At 34.4% G+C, this 26,359-nt stretch overlaps 2 protein-coding genes across 16 annotated transcripts in view; one reads left to right on the top strand and one right to left on the bottom strand.

Moving 5' to 3' along the window:
- Positions 1-26,359, bottom strand: part of CASD1 (CAS1 domain sialic acid O acetyltransferase 1) — a 124,364-nt gene that overhangs the window by 15,979 nt on the left and 82,026 nt on the right. The gene's annotated exons all lie outside the window — the stretch shown is intronic.
- SGCE (sarcoglycan epsilon) overlaps positions 1-26,359 on the top strand; it is a 71,154-nt gene that overhangs the window by 37,940 nt on the left and 6,855 nt on the right. For 6 of the 12 annotated variants that reach the window (NM_001362809.2, NM_001346717.2, NM_001099400.2 and 3 more), the window contains 3 exons: positions 14,742-14,904; positions 17,337-17,548; positions 19,231-19,419. In NM_001362809.2, coding sequence (NP_001349738.1) covers positions 14,742-14,904; positions 17,337-17,548; positions 19,231-19,419 — 564 coding nt within the window. Of the gene's footprint in view, positions 1-14,741; positions 14,905-17,336; positions 17,549-18,470; positions 18,498-19,230; positions 19,420-20,189; positions 20,265-26,359 lie in introns of all 12 variants that reach the window. The other 6 variants (NM_001301139.2, NM_003919.3, NM_001346713.2 and 3 more) reach the window with 2 other exon arrangements.

Below are 26,359 nucleotides of genomic sequence, written 5' to 3'. Positions count from 1 at the left end.
CTCAGAGTTGTTATAATGATTAAGTGAGATAATGCATTTGAAAGGTATTTGTCAGTTCTGAAGCTGTGCAGATAGAAAGCATGACTTCTGACCTTGTGGAGGTCAAGAAAGAATCCTGCCTGGGTAAAGTTATTATCAAGACAAACTTTGATCTTTAATTTTTAATCTGTAGGTTGAGGCAGATTTGCTTTTCCTACCTCAATCCTATAAAAGTATAGTCTGTGGAATAAATCACATTTTGCATAGCATATTCCCCTTTCAACTTCTTCGCCCATAATCCTGGAAACACTTTTATACAGGTGATATCTAGAATTAGCTAGAATACCTGGATTAGTAAGAATTAAATTTAAGGATAGCTTTAAAGGAGAACTATGTACACATGGATGCAGTCTGTGGGTAGGTAAAAGGCAGATGGGGAAAAACAGTGAGCTGTAAAGTCCAACTTAAAAATTTCAGAATTAAATTTTATCTTCTGTTTTATAGCAATGGATTTTGAAATCAGTCAAGCATACATAGAAGTCCTTTGAGGAAAATGGTTGCTTTATCTCTTGTCTATGTACCTAGTTGGCTTTCTATATGAAAACATAATTCTAGAGCTTAAATTTTTACTTCATAGTTACAGTTACAACATGGTTCTCTTTCCTATAAAGTAATTAAAGCAGAACCGTGGAATGAGATGAATGGGGGTATCTTCCCTGAAGGCATTCTCCAAATATGGGGTTTTTAAAACAGTTTTCTTAAGGTAATGTGTTCCACAATTGTTAAAACAATGACCAAATAATGTTGGAGGAAACAGCACAAAAACAAGGCATTGGTAGAGTTTTTCATTGTTGTGCTTTATTCTGGTCTCACTTTTTCTCGTTAGTAGTGCAGGTCCCACCCGTCGAGGTACTTTTAGAACCTGAACTAAACTAAATTGAACCAAGCAACTCCATAAACCAAACTGTGACCTAAAGCACTGCTTTCCAACTATGTCTAGCCTGAAAATTGCCAATAGAACATTACTAAAAATATAGATAGGTTCCTGGCCTTTGTTCCCCCTAGAGACTGATTCTTTGAGCCTAGGGCTGGGCCTGAGCATGTGACTCTATATTAAGAACAGAATTTTTGTCCTACAAGTACTTGTTTGAGAATTCAATCACTAACTGACTGACCCCCAACACCCAACACCTGCTAGAGGGTGGCACATGCCGTCAGATATTTGAGAGAATCAGTCCCGTGGCATTTATTTGGACTCTTGTCTCAGATCCCTTCCCAACTTGAAACGCTTTCCATGAGTTTTAATTTAATGTTAAGCCTTAACCTTTACAAAATATTCATATGGAGTCTTTTAAAATAGCATTTCTATAAATTGTACGCAATGCCAGCTCTATTACTCCAGTGTGTCTGTATACAAACACTCATAAAATAAAATCTTACTTGAGTTATAATTCGAAAAAAAAGTTTGTCGCTGCAAATGATTTTGCATGTTTTCTTTAGTTGTTATATAAAATCATGGTAATAGAAACAATTTTTTAGCCCTGTTGCCTTAAATTTAGAAAAAAAATCCAATGCTTAACTAATACTTTATTTCCTTTTTACCTGTGTATATTATGATTTTTAATTCACTTAATATGCTTTCTGCCTTTGTATATTCTTTTGAAAATATCAGGGGCTATAAATCCTTTAAAAATGAAATATTAAAAAGATCAAGAAATAGGTTCAGAGCTAGCAAAGGAATTATATCCCTTGTAAAAATTTTTGTTTAAAAATATATTCATACACTTCAGAAGTATTAACTAGGCACCTAATAAATGTGCTTTGTGTAATACTTAGCATAAGTCTTAGTCCCAGATTTAAGAAAAAGATCTCCATGAAATTATTTCCTATTTATTACACATGTCAGCCACAAGTAATAAGTGCAAAATTTTTCATATTTCATATGTATAGTCAGTTAAACAGCAGATGACCAAGAGTAGCCCTCAGTAGTAGAACCTCAGAGTAAATCTACTACCGTTCTACTGCCTGAAGTGTCATTAAGTGTCAGTCCCCATGAGCCCAACCTGCAGCATCTGAGCTCCTCATCCTTCTTGATGAGCATTTTTTTTAATCTCTGCAGAACTCACTGACAGCTTTCAAACTTCTCCTAAATCAAACAGAAAGTGATTATGAAGATTTACTTCAAAGTGAATAAGCTCCTGCAAAGGAAGGCTGAGCCCTCTGAAAAGATTCATTTTCACTTGCCAGACTGATAACCCCAAGGCAACTGTGCTGTTTCTGGGCATGGTCTTGGTGCTACTTTTCCTCCTGATGCTGAGCCAGAGGCTAAGGCCTTGTGGATGTATTTAGCCTGGGATAAAGCTGGTGGGAAGAAGAGCAGGTTCATATTTCATTCCAGGCATGTCATGGCTGCCAACCACAGGCGAGTGATGTAGTGTAAATGGTGGCTATGAAGGGAATGATGGGGTGTGAGGATTAAAGAATATACTCACTTTTCCTAAGAGATTGTCAAACTTACCACTATTTCCTCTGGTTACCAAAGCATGTGGATCCAGTTTCAATCAACAACAGAGAATCCTATTTTATTCTCTAGACCATCTCACAAAGTACTCCCACTGATTGTCTGCTTTTTGCTGTATGTCAAAGGCCTCAGTGAGAAGTTATACTTGAGGAAAAGAATGGAAGTCAATGGCTGCCCAATATTGGTCTGATGGAAAGTCATGATCCTGGGCCAATTTCAGTAGAGTTCTGAAATTGTCTCTATCTATGGTAACTTACAGAATTGCCCTTTATCTATCTATCTATCTATCTATCTATCTATCTATCTATCTATCTATCTATCTATCTATTTATTTTGAGACAGAGTCTTGCTCTGTCACCCAGGCTAGAGTGCAGTGGTGGGATCTCGACTCACAGCAACCTCTGCCTCCTGGGTTCAAGCGATTCTCCTGCCTCAACCTCCTGATTAGCTGAGATTACAGGCACCTGCCACTGTGCCTGGCTAATTTTTGTATTTTCAGTAGAGATGGGGTTTCACCATGTTGGCCAGGCTGGTCTGGAACTCCTGACCACATGATCCACCCGCCTTGGCCTCCCAGAGTGCTGGGCTTACAGGCGTGAGCTACTGTGCCTGGCTGAATTGCCCTTTATTCTTAAATGATGTCCCTCCTATAATTTTGGTACAAATATCCTTTATTTTATGGAATAGTGGTGATATAGAAATATTTGCAAATGCCTTTAATAAAATTGGAAACCTGTATCAATTTTTATAACAAAAAAACAAATGAAGTCAATGCAACTATATGTTTAATATCTACTCTTCTGAGTTCTATCATTTTTTCTTTCATAGTTTAATGTTTATTCAGTATTTTTTTAATGGGAGAATATTTTATTAGTCTTTGGAGTACAGTGATTTTAAAAACACAATCTAGGCTTGCAGTCTACTAGGGAGCAGGCAAATAATCAGATAATTAAAATCAGTGTTTTAAGTACCACAATTGAGGCATCACAGAGAGGGCTCCTCTCTCACTACATTTCTACACCTGAAAAAGGTTTATAGAGGAGCTGAAGGCTGACTGAGTTGAAAATATAAGTACAAATTAGCCTGCTGAGAAAATGAGAAATGGGAACGCTATGCAGGGGAAAGGGCTTGGGCGAGTACCGAAGGTAGGAGAGAGCATAGTGGATTCAGAACTCTACTTAGTGTGGAAATGGAGAAAGAGATCCAGAAGGGGCAAAGACCAGACCATGTAAGACGTTGTCTTCTGGGAAAAGTTATTTGGATTTCATCCTGAAGCATTAGGGACCTGTGCAGGAAATGGTTGATACTAAAATTTTTGTTTTAGAGAGATCACACTTGTAGAATAGGGAAGACTGAATGGAGGAAATGCTGTGTGGATATAGGTGCTGGGATTTTAGGGGACCCAATAGCATCCATTTTCCCCTGCCAGAGGATACATGAACAAGAGGAACATGAACACATGAAAAAATTCTTTTAGAATTTAGTGCCAATAAAACATTTAGGTCTCTAAGGAATAGTCATGCTTTCCCCTCTCTAATGATGAGAACTATGACATTTACTGTGTTTTTTTTTTTTTTTTTTTTTTTGATTTCAATTTGGGTACAAGAAAATTAAGTGCCAAATGCAGTGCTCTGGCTTGCAAGAGAATTATTAGTCCTGTCAAGTTTTCAATGTTTTCCTAATTTCTGGTGACTTTTTCACTTGTTTATTTTATTATATGTGTTTTGCTATAATCCCATACATCTTTCATTCTTTATTTTGTATCTTACTTTTTGATTGATTAATTGCAGGTATGTACATTAGAAAGAAGTTGGGTGGAGGAAAAGGCAGGAAGTTTTGTGCTGCTGCTTTTGAGTGCTCAACATTTCCCAGGCAACATGTAACATATATGGACATATTCTTCTCTAAACTGTCTTTTATCTTCTATATACATAAAATAACAAAGTATATTCATTAATTGGGCAATTAGGAAAAAATACAATCATTGGATCCATATATTTGGCTATTGCTGGAAACAGTGGAGTTTCTACTTAAATTGTTTACCATTACTTGTTTCTTCACATTATAAATGTAAAGGCCTCAATAAATGCATTTTACCTCAAAGAAGAGAAATTGAATTGTTGGGATAAAAAAAATTCTTCACAAGAAACAACTCTATCTAGTGCACTCCAGTCTCTAGTCTTTTGAAGTACCAGGTTTTGTTAGCATTCATTGAGAGCCTTATACTTGATAATAGCCTCCTGTCTCATCTGTTTATACACATTTGAAATTTGAAAACATGTGCTAGGGTCATAAAGGTAAAGATCATTCTCATTTTCACTTCATACAAATTTTAAATTTTGACAACAACTAGCTGAAAGGAAAACAACATTATGAAAAACATAATTTTAGCATGTGTAGCATAGTTATTATTATTACACATGGACTCAGACAAAATTACATATTTTTAAAAGCCAGTGTGTTCAAACTTAGTGATTCTACAAAAGAAGCCATAAATATACTTTTTAAAAAAACTTAATGAGACAAATCCAATATCTCCTGCTTCTGAGCATGACATCTGTGTTCCGTTTGTTTTTAAACTGGTATAATGCTTTTCATTCATGCATTCATTTAGCCAGTAGGCTACCTGAGGACAGTGGCAAAGACTGGGTTCAAGGAGCACCATTAAGGGGCTGTTCCTTCACTCCCTGTGGAAGGTGATGGTGACTAGAACTACAGTTGTAGCAGTGGGACAAAACAAAGTGGACAGGTGTGTATGAGAGTTATTTCAGGGTAAATGTCAGAGACTGATGATGGATTGAATATGTGGAGAGAAGGAGAGGAGTCAAAGAGATGGTGCTTGAGTTCATGACTTGAGCATTTGGGGATGTCAATCACCAAGAGAGAAGAAGATAGAAGGAGGAACAGGTGGAGGTGGGGTGGGGTAATGATGAGCTCAGTTTGGAACATATTAAGTTGAAAAGCTTATGGATCATCCAAGTAGAGATGAAAGTAGTTTGGCAGTATGTGTCAACTGTCATAAAAATGTTTCCACTTCTAGACCTCTCTTTTAGGATAGTCACATTAAAGAATATGCAGAGATAGTCTTTGTAATATTATTTATAACTTCAAAAAATTGGAAGCAACTTAGTTGTCCAACTCTGAAATAATTGCGGAATAAATCATGTGTACTTAAAAAGAAATTATACTGCCATAAAACTATAATTACAAAGATTACAATGTGGAATATGCTTATGATGCAATAAGTGAAAAAGCAGGATACAAAATTATATTTTAGAGATTATTGCAATTAGATTAAAATATATGCATTTGAAAAATATTCTGCAAGGTACATTGGAAAATGAAAATAGTTCTTTTGGCAATATAAATGAGTTTTGTTTTTATACCTCAGGTTTTCTGTAATGTTTTTATACTGGTTTTATAATTTAAGAAAAAAAACATTTCAAAGCATGAAAATCTCTTATGCCCATTTATGTTACCTTGAGAGGAATTAATTAAAAATCTTACTAATTGCAAATACAAATCAATGTCTTGTCTAAGCAAGAGGGCCATTAACAGTTGTAAGAAACATTCATTTAATCTCGGTCCTTACAAATATATTTCACAATTACCAAGGAAAAATATGGTGTTGCCTTGGTAGTTACTAAAAGGATAGAAACTGAATGTATGCAAGGCTTAAAAGTAATAACTTGTTTTAAATCGAATATGTTTATATCCTCTGATCATCTAAATACCAATGGTTTCTCATCTCTACTTTTGTTCTGAATTTTTAATTTGATCTTTAATTTTGCCCATTATTTACTATTTGTTTCCCAAAGGTACAATAGGTTTTTTAAAAGATAATCTTTCAAATGAGTCTTAAATCCTAATATAAATTTGATGTGTAGAGCAAATGAATTTGTGTGAACATATTCTCGAACACAGTTGTCATCTCTGGCTTGGTCATGACTTCATATTTACATTTACATAGCTTTGAACTTTTGTGCTGTACTTTTATTTCATTTCATTTTAAAAAAATAACAGCTTTATTGAGATATAATTCACATATCATACAATGCACCTATCTAAAATGTACAATTTTAAATCGTGACTTTTAGTAAATTCACAGTCATGCAATCATTATTATAACCAATTTTAGAAAGTTGTTATTATCCCAACACCACACACCCACCCTTGTACCCATTAGAAGTCACCCCCACCCCCACCCCTACCCCTAGGCAGCCACTAAGGAACTTGCTGTCTCTATAAATGTGCCTATTCTGGACATTTTGTATAAATGGAATTATATAATATGTGGTCTTCTGTGACTGGCTTCTTTCACTTTGTATAACATTTTCAAGTTTCATCTATGTTGTAGAATAAATCAGTATTTCATTTTTAATCATGGAATAATATTCTATTTTATGGATATGCCATCTTTTGTTTATCCATTTATAAGTTGATGAGCATTTGGGTTGTTTTCACTTGTTGACCATGAATGATGTCATTGTGAACATTCATGTACAAGTCTTTGTGTAGACATATATTTTCATTTTTCTGAAGTATATCCCTAGGAATCGAGTTGCTGGGTCATATGGTAACTCTGTATTTAACATTTTGAGGAATTGCCAGACTGTTTTCCAAAGCAGATGCATTTTACATTTCCACCAGCAAAATAGGAGAGTTCCAACTTTTCCATATCTTCACCAGCACTAGCTATTATCTGCCTTTTTGATTATAGCCATCCTAGTGAAAGTGAAGTGGTATCTCATTGTGGTTTTGATTTCTATTTTGCTGATGGCCGGTGATGTTGAGCATCTCTTCATATGCATATTAGATATCTGTATATCATATTTGGAAATAGGTCTATTCATATCCTTTGCCATTTTTAATTGAATTATTCATTTTTTGATTAAGTTGTAAGAGTTTTTATATGTTCTATATACAAGTCCTTTATTAAATATATGATTTGCAGTTATTTTCTCCTATTCCATGGATTGTCTTCACTTTTCTTAATGGTGTTCTTTGAAGCACAGAACTTTTTTATTTTGATAGAGTTCAATTTATTTTTTTTCTGTTACTGCTGGAGCTTTTAGTGTCATATTTTAAGAATCATTGCCTAATCCAAGGTCATATTTACACCTGTTTTCTTCTCAGAGTTTAATAGTTTTAGCTCTTAAAGTCTTTGATTTTTTTGTGCGTATACTATTTTTAAGAGAATTTTTAGGTTTATAGAAAAATTAAGCATAAGGTGCAGAGATTGCTTTTGCATCGCCTCCCCCATTATCAACATCCCCCACCAGAGTGGTATATTTGTTACAAATGATGAACCTACACTGACAACTCACTATCACCCAAAGTCCCTACCTTACATTAGGTGTTACTCTTGGCGGTTTATATTCTGTGGGTTTGGACAAATGTATAATGACATGTTTCCATCATTATAGTATCATACAGAGTAGTTTCACTGCTTTAAAAGTCATCTATGTCCCACCTGTTCATCCCTCCTTCCCCCCAACTTCTGGCAATCATTGATGTTTTTACTGTCTCCATAGTGGTTTTTCTTCCAGAATGTCATATAATTGGAATCATGTAGTCTGTAGCCTTTCCATATTTGCTTATTTCACTTAGTAATATGCTTTGAAGTTTCTTCCATATCGTTTCATGGCTCGATAGCTTATTCCATTTTAGCACTGAATAATATTCCATTTTCTGGATGTACCACGGTTTAATTATCATTCACCTACTGGAGGACATCTTGGTTGCCCCCATATTTTGGCAGTCATGAACAAAGCTGCTATAGATATCCATGTGCAGGCTTTTGTGTGGAAATAAGTTTTAACTCCTTTGGGTAAATATAGGGAGAGTGATAGCTGGATCATATGGTAAAAGTATGTTATTTTGTAAGAAACTGCCAAGCTGTCTTCCAAATTGGCTACACCATCTTGCATTCCCACCAGCAATGAATAAAAGTTGCTGTTGCTTCACATCCTTGCCAGCATTTGATATTGCCACTGTTCTGGATTTTGGCCAATCTGTGTGTTGCGTATCTCACTGTTTTCATTTGTCTTTCCATGATGATATGTAAAGTGGAGCATCTTTTCATGTGCATATTTACCACGAGTATAACTTCTATGGTGAGGTGTCTGTTAAGGTCTCTGGCTTTTTGTTGTTGTTGTTTTTTAGACAGAGTCTTACTGTGTCACCCAGGCTGGAGTGCAGTGGTGCAATCTTGGCTCACTGCAGCCTCTGCCTCCTGGGTTCAAGTGATTCTCATGCCTCAGCCTCCCAAGTCAAGTAGCTGGGACTATAGAAGCATGCCATCTTACACAGATAATTTTTGTATTTTCAGTAGAGATGGGGTTTCGCCATTTTGGCGAGGCTGGTCTCAAACTCCTGGCCTCAAGTGATCTGCCCACCTTGGCCTCCAAAAGTGCTGAGATTACAGGCTTGAGCCACTGCATCTGGCCTCTGGCCCATTTTTAATTGGATTGTTTGTTGTTTTATGTTTTAAGTGTTTTTTGTATATTTTGGATAACAGTCCTTTATCAGATATGCATTTTGCAAATATTTCCTTGTAGTCTGTGGCTTTTTGTACTACTGGCAGTGTCTTTTGCAGAAGAGAAATTTTTAATTTTAATTAAGTCCATCTTGTCAATTCTTTCTTTCATGGATTGTGCCTTTGGTGTTGTAACTAAAAAATCATCATCAAATCCAAGGTCATCTCGATTTTCTCCTCTATTATCTTCTAGAAGTTTCATAGTTTTGCATTTTGCATGTAGACCTGTGATGCATTTTGAGTTAATTTTTGTGAAGGGCATATGTATCTAGATTCATTTTTTACATGTATAAGTCTAGTTTTTTCAACACCATTTGTTCAAAAGACTGTCTTTCCTCCATTGTATTGCCTTTGCTCCTTTGCCACAGATTAGTTGAATAGATTTATGTGGGTCTATTTCTAAATGTGTATTCTGTTTCATTGATCTATTTTGTCAATTATTTCCCAATACTACACTGTCTTGATTGCTGTAGCTTTATAGTAAATCTTGATGTTGGGTAGTGTCAGTCCTCAAAATTTGTTCTTCTCCTTCAATATTGTTTTGGCTATTCTGGGTCTTCTGTTTCTCCATATAAACTTTAGAATAAGTTTGTTAATATCTGCAAATTAACTTGCTGAGAATATGATTGAGATTACATTGAATCTATAATTAATTTGGGAAGAACTGGCATATGGACAATATTTAGTCTTCCTATCCATTAAACATGGAATATCTCTCCATTTATTTAGGTCTTCTTTGATTTCTTTCATCAGTTTTGTAGTCTTCCTCATACAGATCTTGTACCTATTTTATTAGACTTATATTTATATTTAAGTATTTTATTTTGGAGGGTACTCTGTCGCCCAGGCTGGAGTGCAGTGGCACAATCTCGGCTCACTGCAACCTCTGCCTCCTGGGTTCAACCCCTGGCTCAGCCTCCTGAGAAGCTGGGACTACAGGCGTGTGCCACCATGCCCAGCTAATTTTTGTATTTTTAGTAGAGATGGTTTTGTCATGTTGGCCAGGCTGGTCTCAAACTTCTGACCTCAGGTGACCCACCTGCCTCGGCCTGCAAAACTGCTGGGATTACAGGTGTGAGCCATCACACCCGGCCTCTGTTTTTAATTTCAAGTTCTACCTGTTCATGCTGGTATATAGGAAAGTGATGGACTTTATTATATTAATCTTAGTATCAGCTCTATCAGCTCTTGCCTCATGTATTTTGATGCTTTCTGTTTTGGAAGGTTATTACTGATTCCTGCAACGTTGCTGTAATCACTCACTAGTTTTAGGAGTTTTTAATCAATTCTTTTGAATCATATCATCTGCAAAGAAAGACAGTATTTAATCCTTTCAAATCTGTATACTTTTTATTTTCTTTTTGTCTTTTATTACATTAGTTAGGACTTCCAGTATGATGTTAAAAAACAGTGATGAGAGGCAACATTCTTAACTTTTTCCTGATACTAGTAGGAAAACTTCAAGTTTCTCATTTAGAGTAATGTTAGCTGTAGGTATCAAATTGAGGAAATTCCCCTCTATTCCTAGTTTACTAAGAATTTTTTTTTTCACAAATTGCCATTGGATTTTGTCAAATGCATTTCCTGCATCTGATGATGCTGTCATGTGATTTTTCTTCTTTAGCCTGTTGATGTGATATTAACTGATTTTTGGATGTTGAACTAGCCTTGCATAACTGGGGAAAGTCCCAGTTGATCATTGTGTATAATTCCTTTTATACATTGTTGAATCTGATTTGCTAATATTTTGTTGAGGATTTTTGCACCTGTGTTTATGAGAGATGCTGGTGTGGTGTGTAGTTTCTTTTCATGTAATGTTGTTTTCTGGTTTTGGTATTAAGGTAATTTGGGTTTCATAGAATGAGATAGGAAGTATTCTTTTGGCTTTTGTCTTCTGAGAAATATTGTAGAGAGTTGGCATAATTTCTCCCTTAAATGTCTAGTAGAATTCAACAGTGAACCCATCTGGACCTGATGCTTTCTGCTTTAGAAGATTATTAATTATTGATTCAATTTCCTTACTACATATAGGCCTGTGCAGATTATCTGATTTTTTTTTTCTTCTGCTTACTTTGGATTTCATTTGTTCTTCTTTTTCTAGTTTCCTGAGGGGGAGGTTTCAATTATTGATTTTAGATCTCTCTTCTTTTCTAATGTATGCATTCAATGCTATGAATTTCCTTCTAAGTATTGCTTTTGCCAAATTGTAAACATTTTGATAAGTTATGGTTTCATTTTTATTTAATTCAGAATATTTTCAAGTTTCATCCAAGATTTCTCCTTTAATCCATGTGCAATTTTTGAAGTCTGTTGCTTAGTTTCCTAGTAGTTTGGGATTTTTCAGTTATCTTTTGATACTGAGTTCCAGTTTAATTCTACCGGGGTCTGAGAACAGACAGTGTATGATTTCCATTCCTTTAAATTTGTTAATTTTTTATGGTCTGGAATGTTGCTAAATGTTTCATGTGTACTTAAGAAGAATGTGTATTCTATTTTTGGATGAAGTAGTCTCTAAGTGTCTATTAAAACCTGTCGACTGATGATGATACTGAGTTTCACTATGTCTTTACCAATTTTCTGCCTGCTGGTTGTGTCCATTTCTGATAGAGAGATGTTGAAATGTCCAGCTATAATAGTGGATTCATCTATTTCTCTTTGCACTTCTATCAGCTCTTGCCTCATGTAATTTGATGCACTGTTATGAGGCATATACACATTAAGGAGTGATTTATGTTCTTAAAGAATTGACCTCTTTATCATTATGTAATGCCTTTCTTTGTCTCTGATAAGTTTCCTTGCTGTGAGGTTGGCTCTGTCTGAAATTAATATAGCTCCTCCTGCTTTTTAGTTATTGTTAGCATAGTATATCTTTCTCCACCCATTTACTTTTAATGTATATGTGTCTTCCTATTTAAAGTAGATATTTTTTATAAAGAGTATAGTTGGATCTTGTTTTTCAATCCACTCTGACAGTCTCTGTCTTTTCAATGGGGTATTTAGACCATTGATGTTTAAAGTGATTATTGAGGCCAGCCATGGTAGCTCACGCCTGTAATCCCAGCACTTTGGGAGGCAGAGGCAGGCAGATCACCTGAGGTCAGGAGTTCGAGACCAGCCTAGCCAACATGGTGAAAACCCATCTCTACCGAAAATACAAAAATTAGCTGGGTGTGGTGGCGGGCACCTGTAGTCTCAGCTACTTGGGAGGCTGAGGCAGGAGAATTGCTTGAACCCAGGAGGCAGAGGTTGCAGTGAGCTGAGATCTGCACTCCAGCCTGGGTGACAGGGCGAGACTGTGTCTCAAAAATAAAATAAAAATAAAATAAAATAAAATATAAATCTACTATATTTGTTACTGTTTTCTGTTTGTTGCCTTTGTTTTTTGTTTCTATTTTTGTCTTCCACTCTTTTCCCACTTTTTATAGTTTTCATTGAGCATTTTTTATGATTGTTTTCTCTCCTCTTTTAACACATCAGTTGTATTTTTTAAACTGTCTTTTACTGATTGTCTTAGAGTTTGTAATATACATATATAACCAATCCAAATTCACTTTCAAATAACACTACACTACTTCCTAGGTATTGCAGGTATCTTATGATAAAATAATCCCTGTCTTTCCCTCATCTCTCTTGTATCATTGCTGTCATTTATTTTGCTTATCTATAAGTGTATATAAACATATATGTAGATATATACATTTATGGATATATGGTGAATAGATTGTTGCTATTATTTTAAACAAGTTATCTGTTAGATCAATTAAGAAAAATAAAAGGTTTTATCTTCACTTATTCCTTCTCTGATGCTCTACTTTTCTTTATGTAGATCTGAGTTTCTGACTTATATCATTTTCCATCTCTCAAAAGAAGTTATTTTAACATTTCTTGCAAAGTAGTTTCACTTTATTCATTAGAGCCCTCTGCATATTAGTCATAGTTGTTTTAAATTTCTGGTCTGATAATTTCAACATCTCTGCCATATCTGATTCCGGTGTGATGCTTGTTCAGTCTTTTCAAACTGTGCTTTTTGCTGTATAGTATGTTTTATAATTTTTTTCTTGCTAGCTGGACTAATGTATGGAGTAAAAAGAATGAATATAAGTAGATCTTTAGTAATATGGTGGTCAGGTGTTGTGGGAGGGGAAGAATTCTGTAATTCTATGATTAGTTTTCAATCTTTTAGTGAACCTATGCCTCAGGACCATGAATTTCACATATGCTTCTCATTTGCCTTCTTAGGTAGGACGGGATATGTGGATATCCAGTTTTTCCAGCACCATTAGTTATAACAACTATTATATATATATATATATATATATATATATATATATATATATATATATATATATTCCAGCACCATTAGTTATAAAAAATAATTCTATGATTAGTTTTCAATCTTTTAGTGAGCCTATGCCTCAAGACCATAAATTTCACATATGCTTCTCATTTGCCTTCTTAGGTAGGACAGGATATGTGGATATCCAGTTTTTCCAGCACCATTAGTTATAACAACTATTCTTTCCTTTTTGAATTGTCTTGGTACCTGTGATGATAATCAGTTTATTAAATGTGAGAGTTTATTTCTGGATTCTCAGTTCTATTCCATTGATCTGTCTGTCTGTTCCTATGCCCGTACCAGATGACTTGCTTACTGTAGCTCTGAGTAAGTTTTCAAATTGGGAATTGTGAGTTTTCCAAATTTGTTTTTCCTTATCCAAATTTGTGTGTGTGTGTGTGTGTGTATGGCTATTCTGGGTGCTATGAACTTCCTTAGGAATTTTAGGATCAGTTAGTCAACTTCTGCAAAGAAGGCAGCTAGAATTTTGATGGTTTTACTTCATTTTACATTGTCATTTTTTTCCTAGCATTGTCATTATGAAAAGGAACAGTATTTACTTGTAGTATTTTCCTGGTTTTCTCTTTTCTTTTGAAAGGCCAATGAGATTCCTATCTTCTCAAGCTGCTCCAAGATTATTTAAATACTGTTGTCACTATTTCCTGTTGTGAAATCTTTTTAGCCAGTTAAGTAGAGATCTTTCCCCATAATTCCCCCAAACCAACAAAATATTTTGTTTGCCTCTTTGTGTTTACCAAACAATAGTTTTACCCTTATATTAATGTCTTAGATAAAAGATTGCAAGGCCTTCTAATGAGAGACCAAGCATATAGGGGTTTGTGTAGTAGAAAAACTAACAGAACTGATAGGTAAAATAGTAATGTCTACCCAAAGCTCCATACCTCCAGGGATGTAATTTAAAAGTTTTATTACAAGAAAATTAAGTGAAATGTATTACTTAGTTATTTATTATTGTAGTAGTGGGGTTATTTCCTAATTTACCTTAAGGATAATGTTTTAATGTAAATATCTACTAAATATAGTAATTACTAAATATAGTAATCAGAATATGATGCATGTTTATATTGAATGAAAATAAATGGGATGAAATAAAGTTTTTAGAAATTAACATAGAATGGAGAGAGTATCTGGTATACCAAAGCACTCAGTAAATATTGGTTGAATAAAGGAATGAATGAAAGGAAGCCCCTACATGAATCATTGTTTTTAGAGCCGAGGCCCCTACCTCAGGGATGAGTCTAGTTAATCTCTCAATTCAAAAGGCTAAATCCTGCTTTTAAGGTGGATTGTTTTTTAGTGTTTTCAATTTTCTTAAAGGATAACCTGAGAGTTTCACATTTTTACAGCGTTTATGTCATGGTTGGTGCAGATGTCCCGTTTTCTTCTTGTTTACGAGAAGTTGAAAATCCACAGAATCAATTGAGATGTAGTCAAGAAATGGAGCCTGTAATAACATGTGATAAAAAATTTCGTACTCAATTTTACATTGACTGGTGCAAAATTTCATTGGTAAGTTTTTATTTTGTTTTTGCAAGTTTAGTTAAAAATAATGTGGCTGGAGTTAACGTTTGACTAAAACCTGAACTGCTTTTAGGAATAAATCCTAGGTTTACTTTAACTGCAGTTGACTTCCCTTGAGATTAAGGATCTGGTAAGCTCGTTGACAGTGCATCCGTTTAGGAAAGAATATATCCACTTTTGTACTTATTCTATCCTTGATTAATTGCTGGGGCTGGATTAGCTTGGCAGGTGGTCCAAATGAACCCCTTGGGCATCCATATAGCTGCTAATGAGCACAGATAGTGGAGTTAGTATGATATGTGCAGAAAGATTCTTCTTAAATATTCTGCCACTAACCCACTTTGGAAGGAAAGGATGGAGTACAATAATAAATCTGAAAATAAAGCAGTATTGTGCTATGATTTAATGTTCTGACAACTCAAATTATAGGGAAAGTCCAAGAAACAAGAGACAATTCCAAGTGAAGAAAGTTAGAATCTTACCCATAATTCATAAACATAATATTTCTTTCCAAATCACATTTTAATTTGCATGTTAACAGATTTAGGAAAATGTAAGGTTTCAAATATATGTAAGATATGTGTAATATTTTACATATGTTTGCATATTTTATATTATATGTCTGTATATAATATTTTGATCCTGTTATCTGAAAAGCAGGAGAGTTGTTTCAATTCTTTGTTTTTTTTTTCTTTTCATATTAATGTATCCAACTGATGTTTTAATTATTTAGTGATCTTTTAGATATAACTTCTGTCAATTCTTTATGATTGGTGGTGAGTGAATTAGATCTAAGTTTAAAGTTGACATTTGAACAAAGTTATTGACACATAAACACAATTATCACTTCATGTCTTAGAGAGCCAGCTGCATCCTGGAGAACATATTACTCACATTGCAACACTTAGCACTCCTTGTGGCCTTTTGCCTTGAACTCTCCTTCTCATGCCTCTTGTCTCATGGCCTTTAGAAAAATGGCCTTCTTTGCCTTCCTAAATCAAGTAAAATTATTATTATAGGCAAATTTGCTCAATTATTATAGGAAAATTTGTTCAATCATGGTGCTAACGATACAAGGGTGCAGGAGACTGAGCAGCTGCAACCATAACTTAGGTTCCTCTCCCAGCATCATCAGTGGCCAACAGACCCTAACAATGCCATTTTACTTGTGGTTGTTCTGGAAAATGAGTTTATGTTTAGGACTATTACCCAGTCTCTAAAAGTTAAAAAATGATATACTCCTTGAAGATTTTTGTTTATCTGTTAAGGCTTTATAAGTGGAAAGGTTGGGAATTTTTATTTTTTATTTTACATGTATTTATTTTTATGCCACATCTTGCCACAAAAGATTTCAGAAGGTTAAATAAGATTCATACAGTAAACATAATAAATAAAATATAAAAGAAATGGAAAATCAGGACCTAAATTTCACCCCCCAAAAATAAGCACAAGGCTGTGTTGGACAACAAGCCGCCAATGTGCAGGACAAAAATAAATGAAATTCATATTTAGTTCTCATTTTTAAAAAGGAGGCACATCAATTCCTTGGCAGAAAACAAAAGTTTTTACTAACACTGTATTATTAACAAAATTTTTCAAGTGGAGTTTTTTGGGAGAAGATACTGAATAATGCTGCAACTAATTCTCCCCAGCATTTTATTTTAGTAGCAAATGTAGTAGCAAATTTCACATGGCTATATTTTTAGTGTCCTTCAATAAAAACCTTAGCATAATTAAATGCAACTCAGTGAAAGCAGCTCAATTAATGTGGAGGTAAATTAACATAGTGCAACTGTTGTAGTTTTTTTTTTTTTTTTTTTTTTTTTTTTTTTTTGATACTGGGATAGAATTAAGTAAGACTGGGATAGGTTCCATATTCCCTAGACTATCTTCCATAAAAGTTACTTCTGTCAGCTGGAAGGCAGAAAGATCAAGGACGACACGTTTGGAAATTGTCCCTCTTTTTTTTTTCCTTTTTTCTTTTGCTAAACTTAGAAACCATACGTGCATACCTGGTTTTCAGCCAGTTTTAGGTTTGGTAAAATCTGCACTTGAGCTTTGCCACTAGGAAATAAGACATTTACATGGTAGTGTAAAGGACTACTGCTTTAGAGGAAGGAAACTGAAAAAGAACAACTACACGTATAGGCACACACGTTAAATATGTACACATGTAAATGTATATGTATATATGTTTTAGGAAGAACATAGAAAGTAGACCAAAGTAAAGCCTTTATTACTTTCATTTGTTACATTCCCTACCTCCAATAAATACTTGCAAATTCAAGAGGTGATAAAGTAATTGGAAAAGATGGCTTTTTAGATAATTTGTCAAAGAATGCTTTAGTGTATCCAGATCTTAAAATCTCATAATGTTTGCAACGATTAATTTGTTGTGTAATTGTCTTCTTTTATATCAGGTTGATAAAACAAAGCAAGTGTCCACCTATCAGGAAGTGATTCGTGGAGAGGGGATTTTACCTGATGGTGGAGAATACAAACCCCCTTCTGATTCTTTGAAAAGCAGAGACTATTACACGGATTTCCTAATTACACTGGCTGTGCCCTCGGCAGTGGCACTGGTCCTTTTTCTAATACTTGCTTATATCATGTGCTGCCGACGGGAAGGCGTGTGAGTACTTTAAAACTAATAAGATAATTAGAGATCCTGCTAAGATAACAACATAGAAGATTCCATTAAAAGCAAAGTTTCATTTGGTTCATAAAACACTTTGTAAATGAATTGAAATTGTGTCCAAACTGCAATACTTTATTCCTTTAAAATGAATTAAAATAGTTTTGAGTCTAGTAAATCAAATTAGGGGATATAATTACTTTATTCAAAAATTATTAAGGCTAGATGTAAATTCACACTGGCAAAACAGTCCCAAGAATAATTGAGGCTAGATATTTTGGTTATACAAGCCATCTTGCATGAGCAGAGACTGCAGAATCTACTGACATGGTAATTGCACTTAAAAAAATTGTGTTAGTTTGATCAGAAGTGATGGTCAAAACTCTTGAAATCATTCTGCTGTCAAACAGGGTAACACAATTTAATGTTTAAAATATATTTTTAAAACCCAACTTAGGAGTAAATTAATGAAAATAAGGTATAATTTGAGTAACAAGTCTTCACTTCATGAATAGTTAGTACCTTCAGGACATCTATGTCAATTAAGGTAATCTCCCAAGATTATCTGGAAGTCAGGGCAACAAAGCAAAGGATAAAAAATTAATAAAGCAGCAAGTAACAAATTCTTTCATTTTTACATGTAGCTTGATTTCATTATGTCATAGAATTTATTTCAATCAAGGCCTTGATTCTTAATCTCCATTTTTTTCATTTTTCTATGTGTTTCTCATCAGTATTCCATCGCTGTATGTGTACTCATCCAAGCAATGTCATAAACCTGGTGGCAAATGCTGCCTGGTTGCATTTAATAGTGACAATGTCAGCATTTCCACATCATGCAAGATCCCATGAGCATATAGTCTTAATGTTCCAAATATCAATGCTATTATTTAATTCATAAATTTTGTTTTGTTTCTAGGGAAAAGAGAAACATGCAAACACCAGAGTAAGTGTCTTCTTTCCTGTTATTTTCTTCATCATTTTTTCCCACCTCTCAGTTGCCCATCATGCTCCATACATGTGTGTCAAGCTTTTTTTCATTTGTCATCTTTCATAGTTTATTTCATAAATGTGAAAGCTGCTTTCTAAATAGAGATATTTAGGAGGGGTAGAAACTAAAACTAAAAAGGGTTTGAAAACTAAGATTACACAGATAAAAATTAAACCTAAAATATTTCAGATTCAGAATATTAACTTACCATTTATATTATGTGATTTCCAATCTGCATTTCTATAAACCAGAGAACAGATGAAAAGACCTTTCATACAAGTTTTCCAGAATCTACAGTAATAACCTACCATAAAATGAAACTTCTGTGAGTATTTATAAATGCCCCACCAGAAGCAAAAATATAAAAGCTATGGTAGTTTTATCTTAAATCATAGAAAATAAATAGAAAACTAGTTGGTTACTTAGGACAGTAATATTAATACAATGCTTCATAGCTTAGTTTAATAAAACACCTATGTATTTTAAAATCAGTTTATAATTTTCAGTTTTGTTATATTAAAAGTATGTGAGATGTATGCCTTTCTGAAATAGTTTATTGAATGCCCAAAGTGCCATAATGTCTTATTATTTTAAAAGATAAAAATACTTCATAAGTTTTTCAAATTGATGACCCATCAGGCTAATATATGATTTTAAATATATGTTGTTTTATTTCTTTTTGACCTAGCATCCAACTGGTCCATCACAGTGCTATTCAGAAATCTACCAAGGAGCTTCGAGACATGTCCAAGAATAGAGAGATAGCATGGCCCCTGTCAACGCTTCCTGTGTTCCACCCTGTGACTGGGGAAATCATACCTCCTTTACACACAGACAACTATGATAGCACAAACATGCCATTGATGCAAACGCAGCAGTAAGTGTCCACTTAGAGCCATAATTATTAATATGCATGTATATTTTTACTAATATCTGTAAAGAACAGAGCTTTCTGTTGTTGTGTTTGTTTGTTTATAACTGGAAGAGAAAATAACAAAAGGACATTGTGTAAATCTCACCCCTACTCTCCTGAAATATACAATACAATTACTTTTAGGAAATGCACTTTTTTTCCCCCACTGATCCAAACAAGACTACATATACCTTAATATTTAAGAAATTGACACTGATATTAAACTCAACATTACATGTTTGCTCAAAGATGAGTTAATTATAAAAAAAAGAACCATATCCTAAGCATTTCAAATTGATTATTTTTAGAGATATTAGAATTATTTGGTTTAAACCTATTAAAATGTTATTACCATAGACCTTTGTAATCTAAATTTTTGCCTCAGAATTAAGGGTGTTTGGGTTGTTTTTTATGATCTGCTTGTATGTCAGAGCAAGCAGCTCCAATTTGGACTATAAACACCTATTTTATTAGTGCAAACCTTGTCTAGTGCTATAGGGATCAGGGTTAGAAAGGCTAGAAGGACTTTGTAAGGAGTAGACAAGGGTGAGGGGTGAGGAAACTGTACAGTTGCATTTGGGAGACCATGCTATATAATGCTGTAATGCAGCATTATGCTACATCATATATTGCTGATATAATGTAGCCTAGTGGCCACATTTTTATATAAGGGAATGGTGGGTAAAACTGTTATTTATAAGAATATGTCTCTTTTTTTCTTTTTTTTTTTTAAGATGGAGTTTCGCTCCTGTTGCCCAGGCTGGAGTGCAATGGAGCGATCTTGGCTCACTGCAGCCTCCGCCTCCCAGGTTCAAGTGATTCTCCTGCCTCAGCCTCCCAAGTAGCTCGGATTATACGCACCTGCCCCCATGCCCAGCTAATTTTTGTATTTTTAGTAGGGATGGGGTTTCACCATGTTGGCCAGGCTGGTCTTGAAATCCTGGCCTAGGTGATCTGCCTGCCTCAGCCTCCAAAGTACTGGGATTACAGGTGTGAGCCACCATGCCCGGCCTTTTTTCTTTTTAACCAAATGTTAAAATGAGTTGAATTCAATTGCCCTAAGCACTAGAAGTCATGAAGTTGGCTTTTGAGGTCCTCCTCTTTTTCACTTTACTTTTATAGATGGAATGGCTATGCAGAAAAATCTCTCTTTCTCACTCTCTCAGTCTCTCTTTCTCTCTCTCTCATACACACAGACACATACACACCCCTTAGGATATAATATTAAAGTGAACACATTTACCTGGGAACTCTGCTGGGTACATTTTTCCCATTGAGTGCTTATTCTGTAACCAGGTAGAATGCATGTGGTAATTTGAAGATTAAATAATAATTAATATAAGTAGTATAGATAGACTAGATAAGTTTATCCAGAATACTTCAGAAACCCAAAAGTATTATGAATATTTTTCTAAAGTTCTCTAACATCACTTAGGGTCATACAGACTAAGGTGCCTGTTTATGTGCATGTGTGTATGAGAGTGTAAGTAATGGGTAGTGGGTAATTTAAGAAATGGGTGAAATTGCATATGTTTACAATTTTGAATTTTTGAAACATTAATATATCAGGGATATAAATATTAAAGTCTACAAAATTTAGTTGTACTGAATGCAACGGATGGGTTTCTATGCTCTCTGGTGGTCAGTAGCCCACCTATTATGGGTCATCATAAAACCCAGTTTACCGGGATTAGATACTGATGAGAAAAATTGGTAAAATTTCAAGAATATTGTAATAATTCAGAATTTAACAACCTCTTATCCCTTTTTAGATGAAAATTATGAAATGGCTTTATCATTCATTTTCAAAATGAAAAGAATTTGTACTTATTCTTTAAGGTTATTATTTCTGATATTGTTTACCCTAGCGTGCCAGTGAAATGTTGACAGATATCCTTCAAAAAAATGGAATGATCAAATACACTTGGAAAAAAGTAGTAGCAACACTGCAGAATTCTAACATGAAACAAATCCTGTAGCTAACCAAATTGTTTATGAATGATGAATTCAGTATACTTAGTATGAATGTGAAGATGAAATGCATGCCCTTTTAAGAAGGGTTAATTAATAAGTACAAGGCAGCATTATCCAAGCATATACCTGGTTATCGAGTACTGTAACGTAAAGGTTTTATTTCTCTGTTTTTTAAGCTACAACAGTCTTCAGTCCCTTAGTGTGTTGATACACTTTGTGAATCCATAGGAAAAGGTCAGAATAGGTAACTCTTCAAAGAACACAGTTTGAGAAATGCTTCTGTTGATAATGTAACAAACAGTGCTGTAGAATTTTAGAGTAGAAAACTAGTTATAATGAGTAGGGGAACTTGAATATGTTTGTAAATCAATAAAACTCTATTGCTAGTGAAATTTAAGAGCGGAAAAAGGTTGCTGTCATTTTAAGATAACCCTTTCTAACCACATATATTGAAAATAAGAATAGCTCCTTAAAAAGTATTTTGATTCCCTGTGGTTAGAATTTTGCAATGTTGCTACTAATATACAAGCAAAATAAAATTTTCTATCTAGTTTACACCAAATGGATCTTTCTGGTCCTTCCATAACCCCATCAAGACTGTCATTAGGTTGATCAGATCTCTCTATTTGCAAATGCAATAGGCTATTATATTGAACTTGCAACAATTTAAACACATACGTATTTTTAAGTCCAGAAAACCTTCACATTATTCAGATTTCTGCTAATGGAAAAGCTCCATTAACTAGCACTTCTATATAAATAGGGTACACAGATAATTGATGATGTTCACAATGATTATTCTGAGGCACTGCAGGATCATCAAGTGCGTCTGACTCATCAGAGGAAAATTAAATTACATTCGGTGTCGTTTCAGTGTTGAGTGTATATTATCTTTCTTTTATTCTTAGAAATGGATAATATGTGCACAGTCTCTATGGTAACTCCCTATAAGCCAGAATATGTGATTAACCTCATTTTCCAGCCATGCCAGATAATAGGGAATTTATTGTATGGGGTTCATCATAGCTGTCCTTTATGCAAATTCAACTTTTACTTTTTACCAGAAAAACAGCTATGTTTTAAAAGTTTTACTTCAGCACTGAGTAGACACACACAAATATTTTGGTCATTTGGATTGAATTGAATTCTCAAGATTAAAATGTGATATTATATTTTGGGAGGCATTACAGTACTCAATAACCAGGTATATGCTTGGATAATGCTGTCTTGTACTTATTAATTTACCCTTCCTATAAGGGCATGCATTTCATCTTCACATTCATACTAAGTGTACTGAATTTATCATTCATAAACAATTTTTAGCTAGCCAAAGGATTTCATGTTTATTCTTCAGATTGATACCGGAAATATTCAGACATGGATATGGCTAAAGGTTTATATTGGCTTCTAAGCAAGACTCAAGAATATTCAAAGCTTTCTTTCAAAACTGCATAAAACTAGTTTGTTCCTTTAAACAAGTCAATTTACATCAAAGTTATAGAGAACTCACAATGTTATGTAATGAATGGCTGCCACCATTATCAATTACATAGTAATATTTTCTTTTTGGTAGAATGTTTCACAGAGCTCCAGACTGGCACCATAAATTAGTCAGTAAGAAAAAATGTTTAATCATTTGCAGATGATAAATTTGAGACACTGATAAGAGACAAAGTTAAATTAGGTCAGAACTGAGATTAGATTATTTACCTATCCTGATATCTAGGCAGGGATAGATAGTGTCGGTCATTGACCTCAGAAGGATCTCTGATTCAGGTTATAAGCAAAATGAATAAAGAGGCAGTGGACAGGGAAGCTGGAGCAGAACCTGGAGATGTAGCACATGCCTAGAAATGAGGTGTTTCATTTTGTACTGTGTTTCTTTTGCTTTTCAAATTACAGAGACAATATAAATAGGCTGTTAAAACTATCACATAGTCTAGAAATGTAAGGCCAACTTAATTTGATCTTGGCTAATGTGTTTATTCTTTAATAAACTTTTTATTTTGGAATGATTGTAGAGGTACAGGAAAGTTACAAAGATAATAGAGAGTTCCCAGATACGCCTCAGCCAGTTTCTCCCGTTGTTAACATCTTACAGTACCATGGTACATTTGTCACAATGAGGAACCCAGTTTCGGTACTTTACTGTTACCTAGACTTCAGACTTTTTTCAGATGTCATTCGTTTTTCCACTAATGTCCTTTTTCTGTTCTAGGATTCCATCTAGGACACAATAATCACTATGTCTCCTTAGTCTCCTCAGGTCTGGGCATTTTCTTAGACCTTTCTTGTGTCCCATGACCTCGACAGTCATGAGGAGCTATAGCCAGGTATTGTGTAGTATGTCCCTCATGCCCTCATATAGTAAGTTTTTCTGCATCTGTACTTAGTTATCTTTGTAGCCTAGTGAATAAGTGTTGCCATTAATAGCAGTAATAATTTTTTCCCCTATAGACATTTGTCTTAGTTATTAAAATTCATTCCTGGAAATCACATTGTAAAGTAATTCTTAAAAGTAAATTGACTTTGCCCAAAGAATCATTGTTGTGACTGGTGTTATGTTTGTGACCAAAGACTTCACATCAAAAATCTATTACGTATTTGACCGGTGTACCTCAATGATTGCCCTTTCTAATTATTTAAATGAAAAAAATTTAATTCCAAGTAATAACATTTTAGGTCATCAAAGGAACGTCAAGAGAGAGTCTAGCCTTGTTCCCAAACCACGTTGTGTCAGAATCACCATAGAGCTTTTACAGTACACATTCTGGGGCTCTGAGTATGGGAATTTGGAGTCTGGTGGAAGTGTATGTTATGGTAGAGCTCCTGCAGAGAGCTTCTCAACAAAGATTGAGAATTCCTGGCTTAATAATCAAAAGACTTAAGTTTCAGGATTGGAAAATCCAGAGCTCTGAGTAAGAAGGGTTGTTATTCACATTCCTCTACATGGAGTTTTAAAAGGGGAACAGTTTTTCCTAAATTCCCCCATGTGAAACTGAAAGAATAGCAGTCCATGCACATTGTCTAGGAGGTTGGAGCTGTTTGGGAGTTTATACTTCTCAGCCTCTAGACTCTTCCATACCTCCTTAAACTGCCTGAGGAAAATGGTGTGGAGAGGTTGAGAGATGAGAGCTAATCAGAAAACAGTGCCTGGAACAGCTAAAAGCCATTGAAAAAATGTTATTTTGTAGTCTTATGCTTGGGGAAAGGGACATTGACTGGAGGATCCCAAATATTTGATTTTCTAAAAAATAATTTATTATTATATTAAATTTGTAGTGAGGTATGCTGTCTTTTGGGGAAAGATCTGCCTCTTCACTACTCTTTTCTTATGCCAACATCAATACCAATTGATTTTTTTGGAGTGGTAGGCATCTTCATGAGGCCCCTTAGGTAATGAATAATTGGGGAATAGTACTCCACACATTTTTCAGGAAGATATTAATTTGCTACACAAAAATTTTCCTTATTCATTATTCTAAACATAATTCCTAATCCAGGATAATTGGGTCTCTCTCAAAACAGGAGATAGGTTGTACTTAATCTTTTGAAAATTAACAAGTATAAAAGTAGAATTAAGTCTTCTAATTGAAGACAGTATCTAATCATTTTAGCTTTTATTTAAATATTTTTCCATTTGTCCTGCTTTTGGTCACAATGACAACTAACTTTATGGTAAAATTCCATAAATAAAAATTAAGTTTTAATAAAAGTTAATATCAGTTGAAGACAGTGTTTCAGGGGACTAAGATTATGGTGTCCTGTTGAGAAGTATCAGGCAGCCAAGAATATTTCAGAGCCATTGTTTTCCAAAAATATATAACTATTTCTTATTGTTAAATGATGTCACCATACTAACTGAAAAGTGAAATGTTTTGTATTTCACACAACTAGTGTCATTTTCTTTGAACTCTGGCATGGATTCTGTGGCTTTATGCAAATCATCATTTTGCTTTTTAGTTTGAAACAAGTAGCAATATAATCAGTTGATAATCATCAACCTTACTCACAGAATTACGGTATAGGGTATCCAAGAATGTCAAATTACTTTAAAATGGTTGTACACATAAGAAATAATTGTGTACTCCCCCCAACTCACTTATTTATTAATTTGCAAGTTATTACTCTTGCATTCTTAAAGAATGAAGTTTGTGCAATGACTAATTTACACAATTTTCTATTTAAATGCATGAAATTAATGAACATAAAATGAGAAAATAATTAATGCTAATAATTTAGTTACAGTTTTCTTAAATTTCTACATAATGCAGTTTACACATAATAACTTTTCACTTAGTCTAATAATCATTAAATTGTTTTATGACTTCATTAAGGTCCCTCCTTGGAAGGATTATAGGGCCTCTATTTGAAGTCGACCCCCCGCTCCTGTATAATTGCCTTTAGCAGCCTGCTCTCACCAAAGATGAGAATTTGCCACTTTCTTCCTGCATTCTCTGCATCTTAACTAGCAGAGTTGGGATTGAAGGCATTTTTTCCAGTATGCCTGAAGCAGTGCTGTTATAAAGTATGTCCCTTCAACTCTTAAATGAAATACACAGTTTTAAATATGCCCATCATAGATACATTCACACTTTAATACTTACAGGTTCACATTTAGTTACAAGTTTGGGAAGCCACAAAAACAGAGCTATGTGCACACATCTTGGAGACTCAAGGGTCTCCTTCAAAACAGGAGATAGGTTGTACCCAATCAGGGGATGTTGAATCTCAGTATTTTTTTGGTTGAGCACCTTTTTGCGCACACAAGCATTTTTAATATAACTCATCTAAGTTTCCTTTGAAACTGCAAGGAGTGCATGAGCATTGTTCAAACACAACCACTTAGAACACCCACTATGGATACTTTTCAGTCTCTAAATCAATATAAGACACACAGTTGCTTTCTTATGCATCTTCTCCGAATTTC

Source organism: Homo sapiens, chromosome 7, assembly GCF_000001405.40.
Source record: "Homo sapiens chromosome 7, GRCh38.p14 Primary Assembly".
NCBI classification, from domain to species: Eukaryota; Metazoa; Chordata; class Mammalia; order Primates; family Hominidae; genus Homo; species Homo sapiens.
The sequence above is the reverse complement of the archived record's forward strand: the minus strand, read 5'-3'. Positions and strand labels throughout refer to the sequence as shown.